General features: G+C 38.7%; 1 long non-coding RNA gene across 6 annotated transcripts in view; it reads left to right on the forward strand.

Moving 5' to 3' along the window:
• LOC107987108 (uncharacterized) overlaps positions 1-24,596 on the forward strand; it is a 675,821-nt gene that overhangs the window by 567,005 nt on the left and 84,220 nt on the right. For 2 of the 6 annotated variants that reach the window (XR_007061714.1, XR_007061711.1), the window contains exon 2: positions 4,372-4,520. The exons of 3 other annotated variants lie outside the window; for them this stretch is intronic. This is a non-coding gene — a long non-coding RNA (uncharacterized LOC107987108). Of the gene's footprint in view, positions 1-3,501; positions 3,628-4,371; positions 4,521-24,596 lie in introns of all 6 variants that reach the window. One more of the 6 variants, XR_007061713.1, reaches the window with a different exon arrangement.

Genomic DNA, 24,596 nt, shown 5'->3' on the forward strand with positions numbered 1-24,596 from the left:
TTGAAGAGACATCTGTGCTCCATGTTTCTTGCAGCACTATTCACAACAGCCAAGATAAGGAATCAACCTCGGTGTCCAACATCAGATGACTGGATAAAGGAAATGTGCTGTATATACAATGGAATACTATTCAGACACAAAAGAGAATGAAATCCTGTCATTCATGGCAACACTTTTGAAAGTGAGGACACGATAGTAAGTGAAATAAGCTAGGAACAGAAAGTTAAATACCACATGTTCTCACTCATATGTGGAAGCCAAAGAAATTAACCTCATAGAAGTAAGAAGTAAAATAGAAGATCCTAGAGGCTAGGAAGGGTAGGGGAAGGGGAAGAATATGGAGAGATTTGTTAAAGGATACAAAATCCAACTTGATAGGAGAGATAAATTCTAGTGTGCTATACCACTGTTGGATGAATTGAACAATAATATTTATATTAGAATCAAAGAGATATTCAAATATATTGAATATCCCCAACACAAAGAAAGGATAAATGTTTGAGCTGATGGATATGTTAATTACCCTGCTCTGATCACTATACTTACATGTATTGAAACATCACCATGGAACCCATAAGTATGTATCATTATGTAAATTTAAAAATAAAGTATAAAATTAAGATATAAGGGAAAAATAATCGAAAGAAATGATGATGTATACATCCTATTGATAAATGCAACCAAGAATAGACTGTTATACGTGTAAAAAATAGTTAAAAATAGTTGAATCAAAATTGAGAGAATTATCTCAAAAAACGAAAGAAACAAAATTATTTTTGAGAACTTGAACAAGCCTCTCAGAAACGAAAATTAAACAGATAGAAAATAGAAAAGGGTATTAATTTTAATAATATATCAATAGATTTCACCTAATGTATAGAAAACTTGGTACTCAATAAATAGAGATTCCACATCACTTTGAAACACATGCAGCAGTCATAAAATTTGTCCATCAACAAGACCACAACTAAAAAATTAACAAATTTCAAAAAGTTAATTTTATAGGCCAAATTTACTAACCATTATGCAATAAAATTAGAACTTAACAACTAAAAGATGTCAAAAAACAAAGAAAACCCAAACAGGCATCTAAATATAAACACAAGCCCCCACGCACATAGTTCTATACAATTTTCTGATTAATGAGAAATCCAAATGGAAACTTTGGAACTTAACTAAAGAAGTGCCAAAAAAACTCTAAGAAAAAAACTTTAAAATATATATTTTTTAATGTCTAAAGAAAGAATAAAGATATAAGCAGAAATTCTTGAAATAGAAAATCTGCCCAATACTACTGGTGGTTGCACTCGCTGGTTTTCCCAGATGGCGTCTGGGACTCGATAATGAATGTGGGTAGCTGCTTTGTGGTTTGTGTTGCAAAAATGGCATCTTTTAACTGAACACTGCACTTGATCATCTGAACCAGAGGTCCCAGACTTCTAAGGGCATCTCAAGCAGGTCAGACTTTTGCCATAATCCCTAAAGTGCAAGAAGTATAGTCTCTCATTTTTGGCAATTCTTTACATTGTCTTTTAACCTTGAGTTGACCTTCTCCTCAAAATAGACATCAGAATATCCCTCATTCTGAATGTACTATCTAGCTTTCCTTTCTTTTACATTGCCTTTGTGGAATGAGAAATGTTGTGACCTTCTCCACTACTAGTGGTAGATTAAAATTATTTGAAAGTGTTGGAAATGGGACATGTGCAAAGGAAGGTCTTTATTTATGTATTTTTTTTTTAGCAGAATGAGAGTTTAAATGGGTTTTCAGCATAAAGAATTTGTATGCAGCACATTAGGATGTATAGATTGTTTAATTAAATTTTGCTTTATTATTTGTGAAAGCAGGATAAGCTCATTCTTCCTGGAAGTCTTTGTTAAGATTGTTGGGAGTGCATAAAACTGTATGACAAATACTGATCACTACTACACGCCTGGCACTGTGCTAGGTATATAAGACAGACACAGATTCTAATTTTACGGAGCTTCCAGTCCTGCTTCCTGAAGCATGTCTTCCACGGAAAGGTGTTATTTCATTGTAGATTGGAGGGCTTAGAGATTCCACTATGGCTAAAGTGTGGCCTATTAAAGTCTGTTGCAATGAAGAGGCATAGCACATGATGAAGCAGAAGCAATGTCTCCAGGCAAGGCTGACAACGAATCTTCAGGAGAGCAAATTTCCATAAATTCACCATGATCTGAAGTCTTAAGTCCACAGTCTTGGAGGTCCAGAACATGACCTTATCAATACTCCTGGAGAGGAGAGATTTCCAGTGACAGGCTAATAATAATTCACACAAGATTGATTTTGAAATGTCAATTTACCACTTCCCTGTGGCAAGGATCATTCTGTTCTCTATTTACCACACCACCTTTCCAGTACTGAGGTACCTGGAAAGTTGAATTAGCCCTTGGAAGACTGCTTGGAGGGCATGGAAGCATAGTGAAGGGAGGTGGGGAATTTTGACATTGCTATCTGTGGAGAAATTGTCACGCAGCAATGAATACTTTTGAGCAGAATAGAATTTAGTTTGTATCAGGTATGAATCGCTTCATTTAAAAAAATTAATTTTTAATTTTTACGGGTATATAGTAGGTGTATATATTAATGGAGTACATGAGAAATTTTAATATAGTCATATACTGTGTAATAATCACACCAAGCAAATGAGGTTCCTATTACCTCAAGCATTCATTACGTCTTTTTGTTATGAACATTCCAACTGTACTCCTTTTGGTGTTCTAAAGTGTACAACAAATTATTGCTGACTGTAGTCACCCTGTGATGCTATCAAATATTAGATCTTATTCATTGTATCTAACTATATTTTTGTACCCATTAAGCATCCCCGTTTCCTACCCTCACCTCACTACCCTTCCAAGCCTCTGATAACAAACATTCTACTCTCTATTTCCATGAGTTCTGATTTTTTATGTTGTATTATTAGTGTGTAAATGTATGTCTTACTTTACTAGTACTTCTACATCTTCTATTAGTAGTTCTACTATAACTACTGCTATAGCAAGCCTATATAGGAGTTACTACTGTCTTGACTGTGCTAATAGCTTTCCATATATGAACTCAATTCTCCAACCTTTTATTATCTTCCTGAGTTTACGGTTGAGAAAAATGAGGCATGAAACATTTAAGTAAATTGCTCAGTGTCACCCAACTGTTAAGTGGCAGAACAAGAATTCAAATCCAGGTAGCTTGTCTCTAGGTTTTGATGCCGCTAGCTTAGGTCATGGTCCCTATCAGTGGATAAATTCAATCAATAGTTTTTTATATGAGTTGTTAGACTTATTAGGTCAGAGGTAAGTATAAATAGTAAGATGAAAAGAGCCCAGTTTTCTTTAAGTAGCAATCATTTACCCTTTAATCCTTAGAACCTCAAATGAAGGAGAAAGAGTAAAAAAAAATTCTTGGACTAAATGCAGAAGAGGAACTGAAATACTTTCTGAAGTAATTGTCTAACACTTTGGGAATTATGGTATTCACAGGTCTGATTATAAAAGGAGAATTGGAGGCTTACCAAACATCTGAAGAGCTTTCCAGAAGTTTGGTCACTTCTGAATTAGAGAAGTTAAAACCCAATCACCTACTAATGCTGTGGGAAAGTTCTGCAGGTACAGAGTCCCTAATGAACTCACAGGGAATAGACATGGGGCAGGTGGGAGAACAACAGGAAAATCAGTAAATACAACCAAGTATTACAGCAGATAACCTGCTGCACCACTGAGGCTCAAGAAATGTCTACTAAAAAAGTGAATGGCAGTAAGTCCTCAGGTCCTCTTGTTATTCTTATGTTCAGTGACCTCCTCTAGGTGATTGTTCAAAATCTCAAATGGTATCTGCTTCTGACAACTGTACATGTTTTCCATGTTTGCTACTTTAGGAAGCAAGGAAGACTGTTGAAGAAATAAAGAAGACAAAGTTAGGTTGTGCCATTAGCACTTGGGATATTTCAACTCCCTAAGTCAGAATAAGATTAATCATCATGCATTTACTGTATTCAAAATTAAATCCTATGGCTCAAACATCTTTTGAATTCCAAGTTCTAAACTGATATATAAAGAGGGTGAGAGTCCCAAGACCTGAAAGAGGATAGGAGTAGATGAAACTGAAAAGGGTTAAAGTGCAGAGCCACCGGTGATAGGGAAAAGCCACCAGGAGGTGTGAGTGGAGTGACCTGTGGTCAGGTGGGGGTTGGGGCAATGGTGAAAAGGTACCTCCCTTAAGTTGAAAAGGCATTCATTGAGCTCTTGCTGTGTGCCAGATTTAAGGTAGATGCTGAGTATGCAAATGTAACTCATGCTTCACTGAGCTCTACTAACCAACAAATTCTACCCTGTTCTTTCTGGGCATCCCAGGTGATACATCACAGGGGCTCATGAATGTGTCTTAAGCTGGGTCATTGAAGTGGAATGTTTTCACAAGACCTCCTCCACTTGCTACTGTGTCCGGAATTGGTGGGTTCTTGGTCTCACTGACTTCAAGAATGAAGCCGCGGACCCTCGCGGTGAGTGTTACAGTTCTTAAAGGTGGCATGTTTGGAGTTTGTTCCTTCTGATGTTCGGATGTGTTCGGAGTTTCTTCGTTCTGGTGGGTTCGTGGTCTCGCTGGCTCCGGAGTGAAGCTGCAGACCTTTGCAGTGAGTGTTACAGCTCTTAAGGTGGCGTGTCTGGAGTTGTTCGTTCCTCTAGGTGAGTTCGTGGTCTCGATGGCTTCAGGAGTGAAGCTGCAGACCTTCACGGTGAGTGTTACAGCTCATAAAGGCAGTCTGGACCTAACGAATGAGGAGTAGCAAGATTTATTGCAAAGAGCGAAAGCAAAGCTTCCACAGTGTGGAAGGGGACCCCAGGGGTTGCCACTGCTGGCTGCTGCAGCCTCCTTTTATTCTCCTATCTGGCCCCACCCACACCCTGCTGATTGGTCCATTTTACAGAGAGCCGGTTGGTCTGTTTTATAGAGAGCTGATTGGTCCGTTTTGACAGGGTGCTGATTGGTGCGTTTACAATCCCTGAGCTAGACACAAAAGTTCTCCACGTCCCCACCAGATTAGCTAGATACAGAGTGTGGACACAAAGGTTCTCCAAGTCCCCACCAGAGTAGCTAGATACAGAGTGTTGATTGGTGCATTCACAAACCCTGAGCTAGACAGAGGGTGCTGACTGGTGTGTTTACAAACCTTGAGCTAGATACAGAGTGCCGACTGGTGTATTTACCATCCCTTAGCTAGACATAAAGGTCCTCCAAGTCCCCACCAGACTCAGGAGCCCAGCTGGCTTCACCCAGTGGATCGCGCACCGGGCCGTAGGTGGAGCTGCCTGCCAGTCCTGCGCTGTGCGCCCGCACTCCTCAGCCCTTGGGCAGTCGATGGGACTGGGCGCTGTGGAGCAGGGAGCGGTGCTCGTCGGGGAGGCTCAGGCTGGGCAGGAGCCCATGGTGGCGAGGGGAGGTTCAGGCATGGCGGGCTGCAGGTCCTGAGCCCTGCCCTGCAGGGAGGCAGCTAAGGCCCGGCAAGAAGTCGAGCACAGCAGCTGCTGGCCCAGGTGTTAAGCCCCTCACTGCCTGGGGCTTGCTGGCCAGGGGGCTCCCAAGTGGGGGCTGCCGAGCCCACGCCCACCTGGAAATCGCGCTGGCCCACAAGCATCACAAGCAGCCGTAGTTCCCACCTGCGCCTCTCCCTCCACACCTCCCTGCAAGCTGAGGGAGCCGGCTCTGGCCTTGGCCAGCCCAGAAAGGGGCTCCCACTGTGCAGCGGCGGGCTGAAGGGCTCCTCAAGTGCCACCAAAGTGAGAGCCCAGGCAGAGGAGGCGCAGAGAGCGAGCGAGGGGTGCCAGCACGCTGTCACCTCTCACTACCTTGTGAGAAGTACAGATGGTCCCTGACTTAGACTGGTTTGATTTATGATTTATTTTTTACTTTACAATGGTGCAAAAGCAATATGCTTTCAGTCGAATTCATACTTTGAATTTTGAATTGTGATGTTTTCCAGGGGTAGTGATATGTGGTAAAATACTCTCTTGTGTAGCCCCCAGTCAGCCATGCAATCACAAGGGTAGACAATTGACACTCTAAAGTATACTGTGTGGCCAGATGACTGTGCTCAACTGTAGGCTAATGTATGTGTTCTGAGCACATTTAAGGTAAGCTAGGCTAAGCTATGATGTTCAGTACGTTGGGTGTATTAAATACATTTTCAACTTATGACATTTTCAAATTATGATGCGTTTATTGGGATGTAACCCTACATAACTCAAGGAGCAGCTGTATCTTCTCCCTCCCAAGTCCACCACTGAGTGATGCCACAAGACAACATGGGCATAGCTGGTCCTGAACAGTAGCATCCTCTACTGGGGTGGAATGTCTCTCTTGAGCTTCCTCAGGGAGCCCACAGCATGAAAAGCTATTGGTTTCCCCATAAAAGTAAGGAGAACATCTTACTCCACAGTCATCTTTTACCACACTTTGTAACTTAGTACTCAAAGAAATTTCATGAAATTCTAACTGAAAATACCTCCTTTAACCTTCCTTTGCCAGGCTCTGGTGATTGTTCATGGTAGGTGTTGAAGGGTCAATCTCTGCAACAAACCCTACCCTCTCCTAATTGCCCTCCTTACCAGCACATGTACCTCTCAGTCCTTCAAATTACTCTTGCAAATTTTCACCAGCCCACCACAAATGTCTTGACTCAGTCAAATTCTGGTGGAGTCTACTTAGATCTCACTAGAACTCCTCAACGCAAAGATACATGAGGCCTGGTCTTATCTATCAAGGCATGTGGTGAACCCCAGGTGAATTTCTGGTGTGTTACAACTTGTCTGAGGATTGAGTCTATGGATCTAAAAGAGGCAGCAATTAGGTGTGAGGGAGAAGACACAGAACCAGCACCCAAGGAGCTCCTCTGCATTCCTTAGGCCTGCCTTTAACAGCCCTGTAGCCTCTCTGAAGTCACTCTACTTTTCACCTTCAGTTTCCTAATTTAAGAAAGCCAATAAAACCTCTTCTCTACCTCGTGGGAGGTCATGACAATCAGGAGTTGTGCATGTTAAAGTGTTTGTAAACAGCAGACCCTGTCATTAGTTCAAGCAGTTTGTGGCTTTCTCTTCTGCTCCCAAAGACCCTGGGACTTCCCTCTGACATAATGTTTATCTCACTGCAGGGTGTTTGTTTATATAACTGACTCCCACAGTAGACTGTCAGCCCCATGAAGGCGAGGGTCTCCTCCTATTCATTTTTGGATTCTCTTCTCTCAGCGGGGTGCCAGTCATATAACAGATTCTCAGAAAATACATGTTGACTGACTACATAATGAGTGATTTAGGTACAAACATTTAAACTTTTCTCTGGTGTTCTGAATGCATCCCTTTCAGAGCTCTAGTTATCCTAATTGCTGGTAGGAAAACTATATTAGGCTAGTAAGCATATGGTGAGGAGTAGGAAACTATATGACCTTATACCTCATATAATTTCAATCCAGAGGGTCCTTACGGTGATTGAGTCCAAATTCCTCCGTTGTACAAATGAGGAAATTGAAGCTGAGAAAATGTATATGATCTAAGGCCATCTAGACCAGACCCAGACCTTTTGGCTATCAGCTCAGTGTTCTTGATGCCACATTTTTAGATCCTCAAATTGAATTGACACTGTTAATGCATAATGATTTTATAATCTAGAGCACAGCATTGTGTTCCAGATAATAGATCTGTTTCTGGCAGAAAATAGACACTTTGGTCAATGAGGAGATAATCCTCAGTGAGGAGCTGTGAATTGAGAACAAACTGTACAATATCGGTCAAGGTGGGTATTAGTTACTCTGAATGAATCAAACTCAAAGAGCAGCAAATGGATTCCCATCAGCTACAGACCCTTGCTAAAATTAAATGGCTTTGTTCAGCAAGACAAATACTTAGGAAACAATAAAGCTAGGTGGCTTGTAAAGCGAAGAGATGCATTGCAAAGAGAGGAGGATGAGTAAATTAAAGAAACCATCCTAATGTAAGTGTCGATTTCAGAATCAGTCATCCTCTCAATCATGCTTTGTGTTCCTTTTTTTTTTTTTGAGACAGAGTCTTGCTCTGTCACCACTGGAGTAAAGTGGCGCTATCTCAGCTCACTGCAACCTCCACCTCCTGGGTTCAAGGGATTCTCCTGCCTCAGCCTCCCGAGTAGCTGGGATCACAGGCGTGTGCCAACATGCCCTGCTAATTTTTGTACGGTTTGGTTTTTTGGGGGGTGGGGGGAGGGACAGAGTCTTGCTGTGTCCCCTAGGCTAGAGTACAGTGGAACCATCTGGGATTACTGCAACCTCCACCTCCCAAGTTCAAGGGATTCTCTTGCCTCAGCCTCCCGAATAGCTGGGATTACAGGCTCCTGCCACCACACGTGGTTAATTTTTTTGTATTTTTAGTAAAGACTGGGTTTCACCATGTTGGCCAGGCTGGTTTTGAACTGCTGACCTGAAGTGATCCACCCACCTTGGCCTCCCAAAGTGCTAGGATTACAGGCATGAGCCACCGCACCTGGCCAATTTTTGTATTTTTAGTAGAGACAGGGTTTTGCCACATTGGCCAGGCTGGTTTTGAACTTCTGGCCTCTGGTGATCCACCCACCTTGGCCTTTCAAAGTGCTGGGATTACAGGCATGAGCCACCGCACCCAGCCACGCTTTGTGTTCTTAGTGTGAGCCATGTTTGCTGCTAGGAACACAAACGTGGGGTGTGGTCTCTGTCCTCTGCCCTTCCAAACCCAGTGCATGCCATGTAGTTGAGAAGAGGTGAGAAGCTTGAACAGGTGAGCACAGGTGAAGGGCTGGGCTGGCTAGACTTTGGGCAGAGTGCCGTGGGGTCATGAAGGAAAGTGTGGACTGTCATACCTGTGGGGTAGGTGGGGAAAGAGTAGGAGCGCTGTCAGGAAAAGCACAGGCTTTTAAGATAAGCCTGAAAAATTAATGGCTGTTTGCCTTTTAAGCAATGAGAGTGGAAAGGGGAGAATTATTCTGCCAGATAGAACAACATTGAGGCCTAAACCAGCTTGGCACATTTGGACAGGTGGAAGGAGTTTGATGTGGCATAGGGTATGATGGGAGTTGAGAGGGATATGGGGAAGAAGTAGGCAAAGTCCTTATCACTTCCAGTGAAGGAATTCATATTTTATCTTTGTAATCAAACTGTGTTGTATTTGAGTCCGTGAATGAACTTCAAGGGATCCACAAACCTCTGGAAATTACAATACATGTCTATGTATCTATGTGTATATAACTGTTACTGGGAGGGATATCTTCACTTTTACTTATTTTCCACTGCATTCCTGACACCACACCCTCCTAAAACACATATGAGATCAGCAGTCTAGGAAATAATAAATTACTAAAGGATTTTAAGAAAGTGGTAGTGGGATCAGAAACATACTTAAGACTGACTTTTCCAGTACTAGTGTGGAAGATACACGGGGGGCGGGGGGGTAAAGGCAAACAGACCCAGGGAAGACGAGAGATGGAGACACCTGAACCAAGACCATGCCAGTGGTTGAAGAGCAGATCCCTTAAATAATTGAATGTTAAAGTAACTTATTATTTGTTATTACTTTCAGAGCTGAATATGGTATATTAGATTTCTATTCATGCTGTAACAAATGACTATGAAGCTGTTTAAAAGAACACAAAAATATTATCTTATAGTTCTGTAGGTCAGAAATCCAACATCGAGTCTAAATGCATTAACATAAAGGTGTCAGCACAGCTGCATTCCTCTCCAGAGGCTGTTTACTTGTCCTTTCCAGAATCTAGAGGCCAGCCCCATTCCTTGGCCTGTGGCTCCTTCCTCCTTCTGCAAAGCCAGCAACATTCCATCTCTCTGGCCATTCTTTCGTAGTCACATCTTCCATAGTCACATCCCCCTTCACCACAGCTGAGAAAGGTTCTCTGTTTTTAAGGGCCCATGAGATTAAATTGAGCACACCTGGATAATCTCCCCATCTCTTAAATCACATCTGCAAAGTCCCTTGTGTTGTGTAAGGTAATGCATTAATACATTCCAGTGATTGGGATATGGACGTCTTTGGAGACCATTATTCTGCCTATCACAAATGGGGACTCTGAGAAACAGAAAGGGAAGTGTATTGTCTGAGGCCTCAAAGCATGTAAGCAGCACAGTTGGGATGAGGACCTAGGTCTCTTGAACCTCAGTCCCAGGCAGATTCCAACTCTTGAAGCAATGAGGCCATGCATAGATTAGTTATCACCATATTCTATAATGAGTGCGAATGAGTGGATGACACTTGCCTAGGTCCTTTCTGCTGCCTGAGGCCTAAGAAGTGTGGTGCTTCCCATTTCTTGGCCAGCATGGCTGTGGCGCAGCCTGAAGAAAGGAAGTAGGCACTAGTTCACTTCTGTGCTGTCTGGTCTTAGCTAGCACAGACCAGATCTGCCAAACCCTATTCCTGGCAGTTTAGCTTTATCATATGTATGTCACATTTTGGTGATTAAAATTCATCCAGGTTGAGGCTGTTGAGTACATGTAATGGTGCAAGGGAAGAATTCCAGAAATGGAGTTGAGAACACAAGGCATTGTCCCAAGTCTTCCACTGTCATATCAAATGACCTGAAAATATGCCAGTTTCCCATATCCTCCTTTGTGAAATGAGATGACTGCGCTGGATCTAGAGGTCCCTCTAGCTTACCATCAGTGTATAATAAGGAGATGATTTCTGCATTGGCTGATAAATGGAGTGAAATATAAGTATAGAAATCCTACTAGAAGACCCTTTGCTTCTTTGGTTCTCTGCCCTTGATGCAGCCTTGGAGCTTGGCACTCAACAGTTCAGACTGTAGCAGCCAGAAATACAGGATTTCTATAAAGAAGACAGTCTGTGCAAGTTCTGACGAAGCATCACAACCACAGGCTGTGATGGAATCTACACACAATGCATGACTGTCAAATAACTTCTGGCTATGAGCCTTCTAGAATCTCTATACTACTAGAAGAAATTTGTGCATCTCTCTGTGTCTATATGGGTGGCATATATAAACATAATTTCAAAAATCTAAAAAAACTGACGTGGTTCCTGAAACACTAGCTCATTAGTCTTAAGAACTAACCAAAAGGGAAGTAAAAGGAAGAGAAAGGGCCAGGAATAGACCTCACCAAATTACTTTGGCTTTGCACTCACAGGCAGGACATTTGAGAAGTTGAAAAAGTGGAGATTTGAAAAGGGGAAAGAGTTAACTTAAAAATCAAAGAGCTTTTCGGCTGGGTGTGGTGGCTCATGCCTGTAATCCCAGCGCTTTGGGAGGCCAAGGCGGATGGAACAGGAGGTCAGGAGATCGAGACCATCCTGTCTAACACGGTGAAACCCCGTCTCTACTAAAAATACAGAAAATTAGCCGGGCATGGTGGCGGACACCTGTAGTCCCAGCTTCTCGGGAGTCTGAGGCAGGAGAATGGCGTGAACCTGGGAGGCGGAGCTTGCAGTGAGCCGAGATAGCCACTGCACTCCAGCCTGGACGACAGATCTAGACTCTGCCTCAAGAAACAAACAAACAAAAGAAAAAACAAAGAGCTTGTCAAAGCCTATTAAAAATGTAACCTATTTCCCTAATAGACCACACCAGAAATCAGTGGTGAAACTTCACTTAAGATAAAGGAAAAGGCATCCACACCATCTCGGACAGGTGGCTCACACCTGTAATCCCAGCACTTCGGGAGGCCGAGGTGGGTGGATTGCCTGAGCTCAGGAGTTCGAAACCAGCTTGGGCAACACGGTGAAACCCCGTCTCTACTAAAATACAAAAAATTAGCCAGGCGTTGCAGCATATGCCTGTAGTCCAGCTACTCAGGAGGCTGAGGCAGGAGAATTGCTTTAACTTGAACCTGGGAGGCAGGAGTTGCAGTGAGCCAAAATTGCGCCACTGCACTCCAGCCTGGGCAACAGAGCAAGACTCCGTCTCCAAAAAAAAAGGAGTTTCGATTTTGCTGATGTGTTATGTAGTCCTCCAGTTTCTTTGGTGAGAGTTATTTTATTTTATTTAATTTTAATTTTTATTTTGTTGTTGTTGTTGTTGAGACAGTCTCGCTTTGTCGCCCAGACTGGAGGGCAGTGGTGTGATCTCGGCTCACTGCAAGCTCTGCCTTCTGGGTTCACGCCATTCTCCTGGCTCAGCCTCCCCAGTAGCTGGGACTACTGGTGCCCGCCACCACACCCAGCTAATTTTTGTATTTTTAGTAGAGGTGGGGTTTCACCGTGTTAGCCAGGATGGTCTCCATCTCCTGACCACGTGATCCGCCCTCCTCGGCCTCCCAAAATGCTGGGATTACATGCGTGAGCCACAGCGCCCAGCCTGGTGAGTGTATTAAATGAGAGAATCAATGAATTATCCTATAAAACAAAAATGAAAACAAATACCCCTCAGAAAATTCCTGCCAAATTAGCTTCTGCCCAAACGGACAGATTTTCATGCTATACATTTGGGAAATTGCAAATATGAAATTCTCTCTTTTTAAGAAATAGTATGTGTTCAAAAAAAGTAATATAATTTTTTAAAAATAAAAAATAAATAAGTTAGTACAGATAAAGTTGTAACCTACCTCAGTCCATTTTTGTCATCCTTCCACAGAAGTAAACTACTGAATTTAGTGTTTGTTTTTTCATATCTTTTATTTTTAATCACATATGCATGAACTAATAATATTCTATATGTTTTAAAAGTTATAAAGCATAACTATGGTTGTACTTTTCTACAACTTGTTCTTTAGTTTCATCTTTACATATATGTATTATTTTAAAATAACATATATAATATTTAATAATATATAGTTAAACTAAATTGTAGCTTGAAATTCAGTTTTTAACTAACTGTTATAGTCTATTTTTCAAATAAATACTTTGTTAGTCTATTTTTCAAATAAGTACTTCAGTTTTTTAATTGTTATAGTCTGTTTTTCAAATAAGTACTTTGTTCATTTTCCTGTTGAACAATCTTTAGATTGTGATTTTTTTGCTAGTACAAATGATGTTACAGATGATGAAGTAAACATTCTTGTGCATATCTTTTTAAGCACGTGTAAGAGATAAACACTTAGAGCTTTTCAGTTGTAGGGTAACCCATTGTTCAAAATGGTTCTGCCACCCTGCACCCACTAGTATACAAGCATTACTATTGTACCACATTCTAGACAGGCTTTGGTATTGGTCAACTTCTTAATTTTTGCTAAAATGATTAATATAAATTGACATATCAATATTATTTCAGCTTACATTTCCCTAACTCTAAAGGGGCTCAAGCATCTTTTCACATATCTATTGTGAATTAAGTCTTCCTTCCATGTTCTAATCCCTTGCCTATTTTTCTATTGTTTCCCTTTTTCTCATTTTCTTTTTTTTTATTATTATTATACTTTAAGTTCTGGGATACATGTGCAGAATGTGCAGGTTTGTTACATAGGTATGCACGTGCCATGGTGGTTTGCTGCACCTATCAATCCATCATCTACATTAGGTATTTCTCCTAATGCTATCCCTCCCCTAACCCCCAACCCCCTGACACGCCCCTGTGTGTGATGTTCCCCTCCCTGAGTCCATGTGTTCTCATTGTTCAACTCCCACTTATGAGTGAGAACATGCGGTGTTTGGTTTTCTGTGCCTGTGTTAATTTTCTGAGAATGATGGTTTCCAGCTTCATCCATGTCTCTGCAAAGACATGAATCATCCTTTTCTGTGGTTGCATAGTATTCCATGGTGTATATGTGCCACACTTTCTTTATCCAGTCTATCACTGATGGACATTTGTGTTGGTTCCAAGTCTGCTATTGTGATTAGTGCCGCAATAAACACACACGTGCATATGTCCTCATAGTAGAATGATTTATAATCCTTTGGGTATATACCCAATAATGGGGATTGTTGGGTCAAATGATATTATTGGTTCTACATCCTGGAAGAATCGCCACACTGTCTTCCACAATGGTTGAACTAACTTACACTCCCACCAACAGTGTAAAAGAGTTCCTATTTCTCCACATCCTCTCCAGCATCTGTTGTTTCCTGACTTTTTAATGCTCGCCATTCCAACTGGTGTGAGATGGTATCTCCCTGTGGTTTTGATTTGCATTTCTCTAATGACCAGTGATGATCAGCCTTTTTTCATGTTTGTTGGTCTCATAAATGGTATTCTTTTGAGAGGTGTCTGTGCATATCCTTCACCCACTTTTCGATGGGGTTGTTTTTTTCTTGTAAATTTGTTTAAGTTCTTTGTAGCTTCTGGATATTAGCCCTTTGTCTGACGGATAGATTGAAAAATTTTCTCTCATTCTCTAGGTTGCCTGTTCACTCTGATGAGAGTTTCTTTTGCTGTGCAGAAGCTCTTTAGTTTAATCAGATCCCATTTGTCAATTTTGGCTTTTGTCGCCATTGCTTTTGGTGTTTTGGTCATGAAGTCTTTGCCCATGCCTATGTCCTGATTGGTATTGCTAGGTTTTCTTCTGGGGTTTTTATGGTTTTAGGTCTTATGTTTAAGCCTTTAATCCATCTTGAGTTAATTTTTGTATAAGGTGTAAGGAAGGGGTCCAGTTTCAGTTTTCTGCATATTGCCAGTCAGTTTTCCCAAAACCATTTATTAAATAGGGAATCCTTTCCCCGTTGCTTGTTTTTGTCGGGTTTGTCAAAGATCAGATAGTTGTAGATGTGTAGTGTTCTTTCTGAGGCCTCTGTTCTGTTGCATTAACCTTTTGGCTAAGATCAAGCATAGTATCTGTTTTTTCTCATTTTCTTGTGGTGTCTTCATATGTTCTGTGAACTAGTCTTTATATTTTTTGAGAATTGAACTACATATACATACCAATTTAAATTGTACCTAAATAAGCTAGTATTATTATGACCAAATTTTTTGGGTTATGAGTATTGCATATAGTTTCTCTGTCCTTGCTCTTTGTATGAAAGTTGTTATGTTAATATAATCAAATTTATCATTTTCTTCATCTATTATGCACGTATATAAGCCTTTTTAGAGGAAGGAGAATTGCTGCTTTGTTAACACATCCCTAGAATAGTACCTGGCATATAGCAGGTGCCTAATAAATATTTTTCAATGAATAAATAAATGCTATGTGCTTTTTCCCCCTAAGAAATACTTTTCTTTTCCTAGTTCATGCAAATATCTTTCCATGTATTATTCTTAACTCTAAAAAATTTGCTTTTCACGTTTTCGTGCAACTGCAATTATTTTGTTATTATTTAGTGCTAAAGAATCTAATTATATTTGTTTCCAAATGGATAAACAATTTTCCAGGGCATTTATGCAGTAGGTCATTCTTTAATATACGATCAGTCACATATTTAGTCTTTATCCATTCATATGTGCATTTCTAGGCTCTGTATTCCGTTCTATTGATCAGTTTGCTTACCTTTGAGATAAATGACAGTGCCTTAATTGTGACAACTTTGTTATTTGTCTTACTATCTGGTAGGACAAGTCCCCCACCCTTGAATTTCTTAAAAAGTATATTAGTTCATATCAGTGAAGGCCATTTGAGGAGCAGCAGTGAGGCACTCCTACTCTTTTCTGGCAAGGTGGTAGCAGAGGAAGGCTACTAGGGAACTGAAATATCTACCCCCACCCAATGGTAGCAAGAAGCCCCTTCCCCTAACTTGGATGTCAGTGGAGGTCATGTGGGCAACCCAAATTTCTGTGTATTCCTGGCAGTTATGAGGCCATGACCTCTACACCCCTGCTGGAGATGTGTCAGAAGAAGCCAGTTAAAAGGGAAGATTTAAATACATTCCATAGTCTCATCACATAATACCCAAAATGTCCAGGTTTCAACAAAAAAATTATTTCACATCAACAACCAAGATAATTTCAACCTGAATGAACAAAAGACAATTGACAGACATCCATATCAATATAACAGAGATGTTAGACTTATCTAACAAAGATTTTAAAGCATCCACCATAAGAATACTTCAAGGAGAAAATATGAACATGCTTAAAACAAATGAAAAAATAAAGTCTTGACAAAGAAATAAGATATAAAGTAAAACCAGATTAAAATTTTAGAACTGAAAACTACAATAACTAAAATAAAAAGCTCAATGGATAGGCTCAACAGCAGAATGAAGGAGAATCAGTGAACTGAAAGATAAAACAATAGAAATTACCCCATCTGAACAACAGAGAAAAAAATAGAACAATAAAAATGAACAGAGCCTTAGGAGCAACCCATGGGACAATAACAAAAAATCTAACATTTGTTTCATCAGAGTTTCAGAAGGAGAGGAGAAAGAGAATAAGTTTCAAAAGCACTCAAAGAGGCCAGTTGCAGTGGCTCACGCCTGTAATCCCAGCACTCTGGGAGGCCAAGGTGGGCGGGTCACCAAAGGTCAGGGGTTCAAGACCAGCCTGGCCAACATGGTGAAACCCCGTCTCTACTAAAAGTACAATAATTAGCTGAGCGTGGTGGTGGGTGCCTGCAATCCCAGCTACTTGGGAGGCTGAGGCAGGAGAATCACTTGAACCCGGGAGGCGGAGGTTGCAGTGAGCCGAGATTGAGCCACTGTACTCCAGCCTGGGTGACAGAGTAAGACTCTCTCTCAAAAGAAAAAAAGAAAAAAAAAACACTCAAAGAAATGATGGAAAACTTCCTAAATATGGAGACATATACATATATAGATATATACACACTAAGCTAGATATTCAAGAAGCTGAACCTCAAACAGGATAAAACCAAAGAAATTTATTTCAACACTCGTCATCATAGTCAAATGTATGAAAACAAAAGACAAAGCAAGAATCTAAAATGCAGCAAGAAAAAAGAAAAGCACCTTACCTAGAAAGGGAGAAAAACTAGAATGAGTGGATTTATTATCAGAAATCATGGTGGCCAGAAAGAAATGGTACATTTTTCGAGTATGGGAAGAAAAGAACTGTCAATTTGGAATCCCACATCCAAAGAAAATATCCTCCAGGAATGAAGGAAAAATCAAGACATTTTCAGATAAAGAAATCTAAGAGAATTTGAACATATTTATTTTAATAATAATAAACTAAAATTTAGAGCGTTATTTTGATTCTAGAGCTCACATTCTAATGATACTGTTCTTATAAAGCCCATATGTGCAAATAGGCTTTGTTAAATTTGAAAATTAGCCTCTTTTTTTAACAGTGAACATGTATAAATTTATGTCCATTATTTGTTTCATGCCAGAATTTAGGAGATTCATTCATTTTTGTCTTTATGTTGATTAAAGACTGTCTCCCTGCCTATAATTTGTAATGGTGAGTCAGACAAAGCATAGCACCAGATGTATTTGCACATGTCCTTTATTTTCCCAATATATACTATGGCAGACATCACTAATCAATTCAACATTCATTCTTGGTAATCCAGATCTCTAGGTGGAAATTCACAATCAGTGAGAGTTACTGTATGAGATGATACTATTTGTCATTCCTGATATCTATGAACCTACATTCCAGTGAAAGAGCCAATAAACCAACATGTTTTTTCTAACTACCAATACCAACAGCAAGATTTCTATAATATAATAGAGCACAAGCAAAATGTATGACGTTAAATGATACAAAAGATAAATAATACCTGTTTACTGATTAGTTACTCTTTATCAGTACTATGCTAAGAACTTTACACTCTTTATTTTATTTATTCATTGCAACTACTCTGATATAAACTTTTCTTAACAGCTAAAGATACTGAATGTCTCAGTCTGTTTGTGCTGCTTTTACAAAACACCTGAGACTGGGTAATTTATAAAGAAGAGAAATTAATTTTCTCACAGTTCTGGACGCTAGGAAGTCCAAGGTCAAGGCAGCAGTATGTTTGGTTGTCTGATGAGGGCTGAATCCTCCAGAGGTGAGGAATGCTATGTCGTCACATGGCAGAAGGCAGAATGGCAACCTAACAAGCTAGCTGAATGCTGAGAGAAGCCTCTTGTACAAGGTCCTTAATTCCATTCATGGGAAAGGAGTCCTCTTGGCATAATCACTGTTTAAGGGCCCATCTCTTAAAGCTACCATATCACCAACTCCTGCATTTGAAGGAGATACATTCAAATCATAGCCTTGAGGTTCACAGAAATTAATTACCATAAAGATAATGTAAGTAGAAAAGTGATCAGTGTCTGTATGAACTCAAACGCTGTGTTCTATCACTTATACCTATTATGCTGCCCCTCTCTGACAGGATCAAACTTATACACTAGTTATATTTAAACTACTTTCCTGTTATTAAGAATGTATCTAATTATACGGCTAGAAACCTCAAGAGTATCTCCTGAAATACTCTCAAACCAGGAGTGTCCAGTCTTTTGGCTTCCTTGGGTTACGTTGGGGGAAGAATTGTCTTGGGTCACACATAAAATACACTAACACTAACAATAGCTGATGAGCTTGAAAAAAAATCACACACAAAAAATCTCGTAGTGTTTTAAGAAACTTTACGAATTTGTATTGGGCCACATTCAAAGCCTTCCTGAGCCACATGTAGCCCCTGGGCTGCAGGGTAGACAAGCTCGTCTTAAACTAAAAAAGAGTTTAGAACTAAAATAAATATATAAAATCAACAGCTCTTTTTCGTTTTTCCCCCCATACATAAGTGTTTATAGCAGCTTTATTTATAATGGTCCCAAACTGGAAAGAGTCCAAATGTTCTTCAACTAGTAAATGGGTAAACAAACTGGTACATCCTTTTAACGGAATACTCAGCAATAAAAAAATATGAACTACTGATATATGCCACACTTGAATGAGTCTTAAAAGCTTCATACTAAGTAGCAGAAACCAGCTACAAAAGGTTACATGTCTGTGATTTCATTTATATGACATTTTGTGAAAGGCAAAATAGGAACAGAAATCAGATCAGTGGTTGCCAAGAGCTGGAAGTGGAGACAGGGATGATCCCAAAAGGGTGCAAGGGAATTTTTCAAGATGATGCGGGTGTTCTATGTCTTGATTGTGGTGGTGGTCGTTACTCAACTCTAGGCAGCCATTGAAATCTATCAAATTATATACTTAAAACTGGTGAATTTTATTCTGTGTAAATCGTACCTAACTAAAACTGATTTCTTATTTTTTTTTTATTATACTTTAAGTTCTGGGATACATGTTCAGAACGTTCAGAACGTGTTACATAGTTATACACACTCCATGGTGGTTTGCTGCACCCATCATCAACTTGTCATCTACATTATGTATTTCTTCTAATGCTATCTCTCCCCTAGGCCAAACGCCCTGACAGGCCCCTGTGTGTGATGTTCCCATCCCTGTGTCCGTGTGTTCTCACTGTTCAACTCTCACTTACGAGTGAGAATATGTGGTGTTTGGCTTTCTGTTCCTTTGTTAGTTTGCTAAGAATGATGGTTTCCAGCTTCATCCACGTCCCTCCAAAGGACATGAACGCATCCTTTATATGGCTGTATAATATTCCATGGTGTAAATGTGCCACATTTTCTTTATCCAGTCTATCACTGATGGGCATTTGGGTTGGTTCCAAGTCTTTGCTATTGTGAACAGTGCTGCAATAAACATATGTGTGCATGTGTCTTTATAGTAGAATGATTTATAATTCTTTGGGTATATACCCAGTAATGGGATTGTTGGTTCATATGGTATTTCTGGTTCTAGATCCTTGAAGAATCACCACACTGTCTTCCACAATGGTTGAACTAATTTACACTCCCACCAACAGTGTAAAAGTGTGCCCATTTCTCAACATCCTCTCCAGCATCTATTGTTTCCTGCCTTTTTAACGATCACCATTCTAACTGGTATGAGATTGACAAACCTGACAAAAACAAGCAATGGGGAAAGGATTCCCTATTTAATAAATGGTTTTGGGAAAACTGGCTAGCCATATGCAGAAAACTGAAACTGGACCCCTTCCTTACACCTTATACAAAAATTAACTCAAGATGGATTAAAGGCTTAAATGTAAGACCTAAAACCATAAAAACCCTAGAAGAAAACCTAAAATACCAATCAGGACATAGGCATGGAGAAAGACTTCATGACCAAAACACCAAATGCAATGGCAACAAAAGCCAAAATTGACAAATGGGATCTGATTAAACTAAAGAGCTTCTGCACAGCAAAAGAAACTCTCATCAGAGTGAACGGGCAACCTACAGAATGGGAGAAAATTTTTGCGATCTATCCATCTGACAAAGGGCTAATAGCCAGAATCTACAAAGAACTTAAACAAATTTACAAGAAAAAAACCACCCCATCAAAAAGTGAGTGAAGGATACCAACAAACAAACACTTCTCAAAAGAAGACATTTTATGCGGCCAACAAACATATGAAAAAAAGCTCATCATCACTGGTCATTGGAGAAATGCAAATCAAAATAGCTCTTTTTCATACAAGAATAGCATAAAATATTAAATACTTTGAAGTTATCCTAATGAGATATTTGTAGCATTTCCACAGGAAAAAACTACAGAATATTACTGAGGTAATATCTATGTTCATATGGATATCTATCTACCTACCTACCATTTGTTTATCTATCTATCTAAAGGTGGAAGGGTATGTGTTTCCAAATACTAATGAGATTTTAATTTTTCCACGTTGTTATAGGATTAATGCCATTCTTCTCAAATTCATAAAGGTTCATGTGTGTTTTATATCAAGCCTGATGAGATACTTCTAAAATTGAGAAATATTTAATAGATGGGGTTATAAAAAGACTTTGGAATCATTAAACAACCAGTGAAAACATGAAGAAAAGAAGTAATACAAAAAGAACTAAATTAAATTAAAATTTTTTTCTGTACGTAGGAACTCAAGTTCAAAGTCACAAAGTGAGAAAATAAGTCCTACTTGGCAAATAACTAATATTCTTAATGCTTAAATACTTACAAATGGAATTCCAGTTTTCTACACTTCCCTCAAAGCAATGAAATAATACCAGTAATCTTGAAAAGTGACATATGAAAATGTTAATACTATATCACAAAGCTTTACAAAGTGATGTATTCAAAACTATATAAATAAATCAAGATGGAATCCTAGAAAAAAATATGCAAGTAACCCTGAGTAATACAAGAGAAATAAGGGAACAAGAAAGAGAGAAAATAAAATAAATGATAAAATGACATAAGTAAGTTCTCACATGCCAATAATTATTTTAAATAGCAAAGGTCTAACTACACACAATAAAATGTAAATATTGGCAGGATAGATCAAGAAAAAAAACATGATCCAGCTCTGTGGTGTCTAAAAAAAATTAATTTCAAAGACAACAACATAAGTAGTTCAAAAGCAAAATGATGGAAAAAAAATGTATACCATGTAAACATTCATTTAAAAAATCAGGAGTTGCTATGTCAATATCGGATAGATTATGCTTCACAACAAAAACATTACTAGAGACGAACAGGGACATTACATAGATAAAAGGATTAATCCACTCGCCAAAAAAATTCTAAATGTATGTACCCCAGACAACAGAGCCTCAAATATATGAAGCAAAAGCTGATAGAGCTGAAAGGACAAATTCACAGTCAAAGCTGGGAACGGCAACTCCTCACCTTCAGAAAACTGATAAAACTAACATAAAATCAGCAAAGATATATAACTAAACAACACTGTCAACCAATCAATCTATATATGTTCTAATTGACATAGATAGAACATTTACCTGACAACAGCAAAATGTACGTTTTCTTCAAGCACCCATGGAACATTCACCAATGTAAATCACAAATCATATCCTGGAAACTTCAATTTAAAAGAATTGAAATCACAGAGTGTGTTCTCTGACTACACTGGAAGTGAATAAGAAATCAACAATAGAAGGATGACAGAAAAATCTCCAAGCACTTGAAAACTAAAGAAAACATATCTAAATAACCCATGAGTCAAAGAGTCTCAGGGAAAATAAAAGATATACATTAAACTGCATAAAAATGAAAATATGACTGTTAAAATTTATGGAACACAGCTAAAGCAGTGCTGAGAGGAAATTTTATAGCACTGTTTATATTAGAAAAGAGGAAATGTTTCAAATCAGTAACCTAAGCTCCCACATCAAGAACTTAGGAGCAGAAGAACAACCCAGAGCAAGTGGAAGGATGAAAAAAAAAAACAGTAAGAGCCAGAAATCAATAAAAATGAAACTAGAAAACCACAGAAAAAACAGTGAAACAAATAACAGGCTCTTCGAAAACATCAATAAAATTGATAGACCTTTAGCAAAACTGACAAAAAAGAAAACACAAATTACCAACATAAAAAATGAAAATGTTTGTATCACTACACACCCTGCGATATCAAAAGGATAATAATGGAATACCATGAACAATTCTACACACATACATTCAACAACTTAGATGAAATGGACCAATTTTTTGACATAAACTACCACAAGTCACCCAATATGAAATACATAATTTTAATAGCATCATTACTGTCAAGGAAATTAAATTTTGAATTAAAAAATTCCCCACAAAGAAATCTTTAAGTCCAGAACATTATACCAAACCTTTAAAAAGGAATTAACACTAATTCTACACAATCTTTTCCAGACACTAGAAGAGGGAATACTTTCCAATTCATTTTATGAAGCAGTATGACCCTGATACCAAAATCAGACAAAGATGATACCCTTCAAAAAAAGAAAAATACCAATATTCCTCATGAATAAAGAGTTAAAATCCTTAACAAAATATTAATAAATACAATTCAGCAACATACAAAAATAAATATACACCATGACCAAGTGGGGTTTATTCCGGGATACAAAGACAGTTCAATATTCTAAAATCAACCAACACAGTTACCATATTAACAGGATAAAAAATCACATGATCATATCAATTGATTCAGAAAAAAGATAAGACAAAATTTGACATCCATTTATGATAAAAACTCCCAGCAAACTGGGAATAAAGTGGAAATGTTTCAACTTATTAAATAACATCTACAAAAAACCCCTACAATTTACATTATTTTTGATGGTGAAAAAGACTGTTTCTTTCCTACGATCAATAAGGCAAAAATGTTCACTCTCACAACTCTTATTCAGCATAATGATGTAAGTTCTAGCCAGCATTATAAGGCAAGAAAAGTAAATAAAAGCTGTACAAATCAAAAAAGAAGAAATAAAACTGTTACTATTTGCAGATGATGTAACTGACCACAGAGAAAAGCTCAAGGGGTCAACAACCACAACAAAAAATCCTAGGACTAATAAGTAAGTACAGTAGGATCACAAGACACAAGATAAATACAAAAACATATATTGCAATTCTATATATTAACAATGGAAATGTGGACAACAATGTTTAAGAGAAAAGAGGACTAATTTTAGGAATAAAAAATATTTCAAAGCATGTTTTCAGACAGAGAATAAATACACTATGAGAAACTCATCTTTCTTTTGTGTATATGCTTGGGTAATCGCTGTGCTAAAGGGCATATACACAGCCAAGTCTAAAACTTTCTGAATTGTGTAATAGAAATACTACCTCTGAAAAACAAAATTCACAAAATATGACAGATTCTATATAGTCTTCTAACTAGGTAATTCTAACAAAAAATACCTATATAATAACTAACTCCTTGTGAGACAGGTATATTAGTTAAGCTTCTACCAGAGAAACAGAACCAGTAGGAGATATATGTTTTGGTATTCATCCAAGGAATTGGCATATGCCATTCTGGAGACTGGCTAGGCAAGTCTAAAGTCCATAAAGATAGGCCATCAGAAAAGGGTAGGCTGGAACTCTCAGACACAAGTGGAAGGTACAGTCCACAGGTGAAATTTATTCAGCTAGACAACCTCAGTTCTGCTCAAGAAGACTTTCAGATGATTGAATGAGGCTCACCCAAATTATCTAGGATATTATTCTTTACTTAAAGCCAACTGATTATGAATGTTAACCATATTTATAAAATACTTTTATAGCAACACCTAGATTAGTATTTAATTAAATAACTGGAGAGATAATAGCCTAGCCAAGTTGACACATAGAATTAGAACAGAATATCACAAAAGGTAAGACTATTGTGTGTTTTGAAGATTATACATTGTGGCTTGGGGCAAGGAATTTGAAATCACAGCCAATGCTTAAAATTCATTTCTCATAGGTGGTGTCAGTCCATTTATAATCTGAAAGCTACATACCACTGCAAGAGAGCATAGAGGAATGTAAAGGACATGGTCAATGAGAACACTAACGTGATATTGTTGATGTAAAAGAGGCAACATGGGACCTGGATTTTTAAAGCAGAAAGTAGCTATAAGAGGTAATTTATTTGATGGGTCCTCCTTGGATGTGATGAATATATCTCTACCAGTCCTTTCTCAATGTCAACATACCCTAGGGAGACATCACAGTCTCACAAGTGACCATGACTTACAACCAGGGCAATGAGATTATGCAACAGTAGCAGAGAATGAGGCTAAAGGGGTAGCCAGCATCCAAACTCTGCATGGCTTTGTGTTCCATAATGGGGAAACTAAGCTTAATTTTGTGGGTGAAGAGGGAGTCAACTAGTGTTTTAATCTAGGGAGAGATATGATCAGATGTTGTTACAATAAGTCAGAAAATCTTGCACTGAGTGCTTCATCAACAACAA

Source organism: Homo sapiens, chromosome 9 (genome assembly GCF_000001405.40).
Source record: "Homo sapiens chromosome 9, GRCh38.p14 Primary Assembly".
Lineage (NCBI taxonomy): Eukaryota > Metazoa > Chordata > Mammalia > Primates > Hominidae > Homo > Homo sapiens.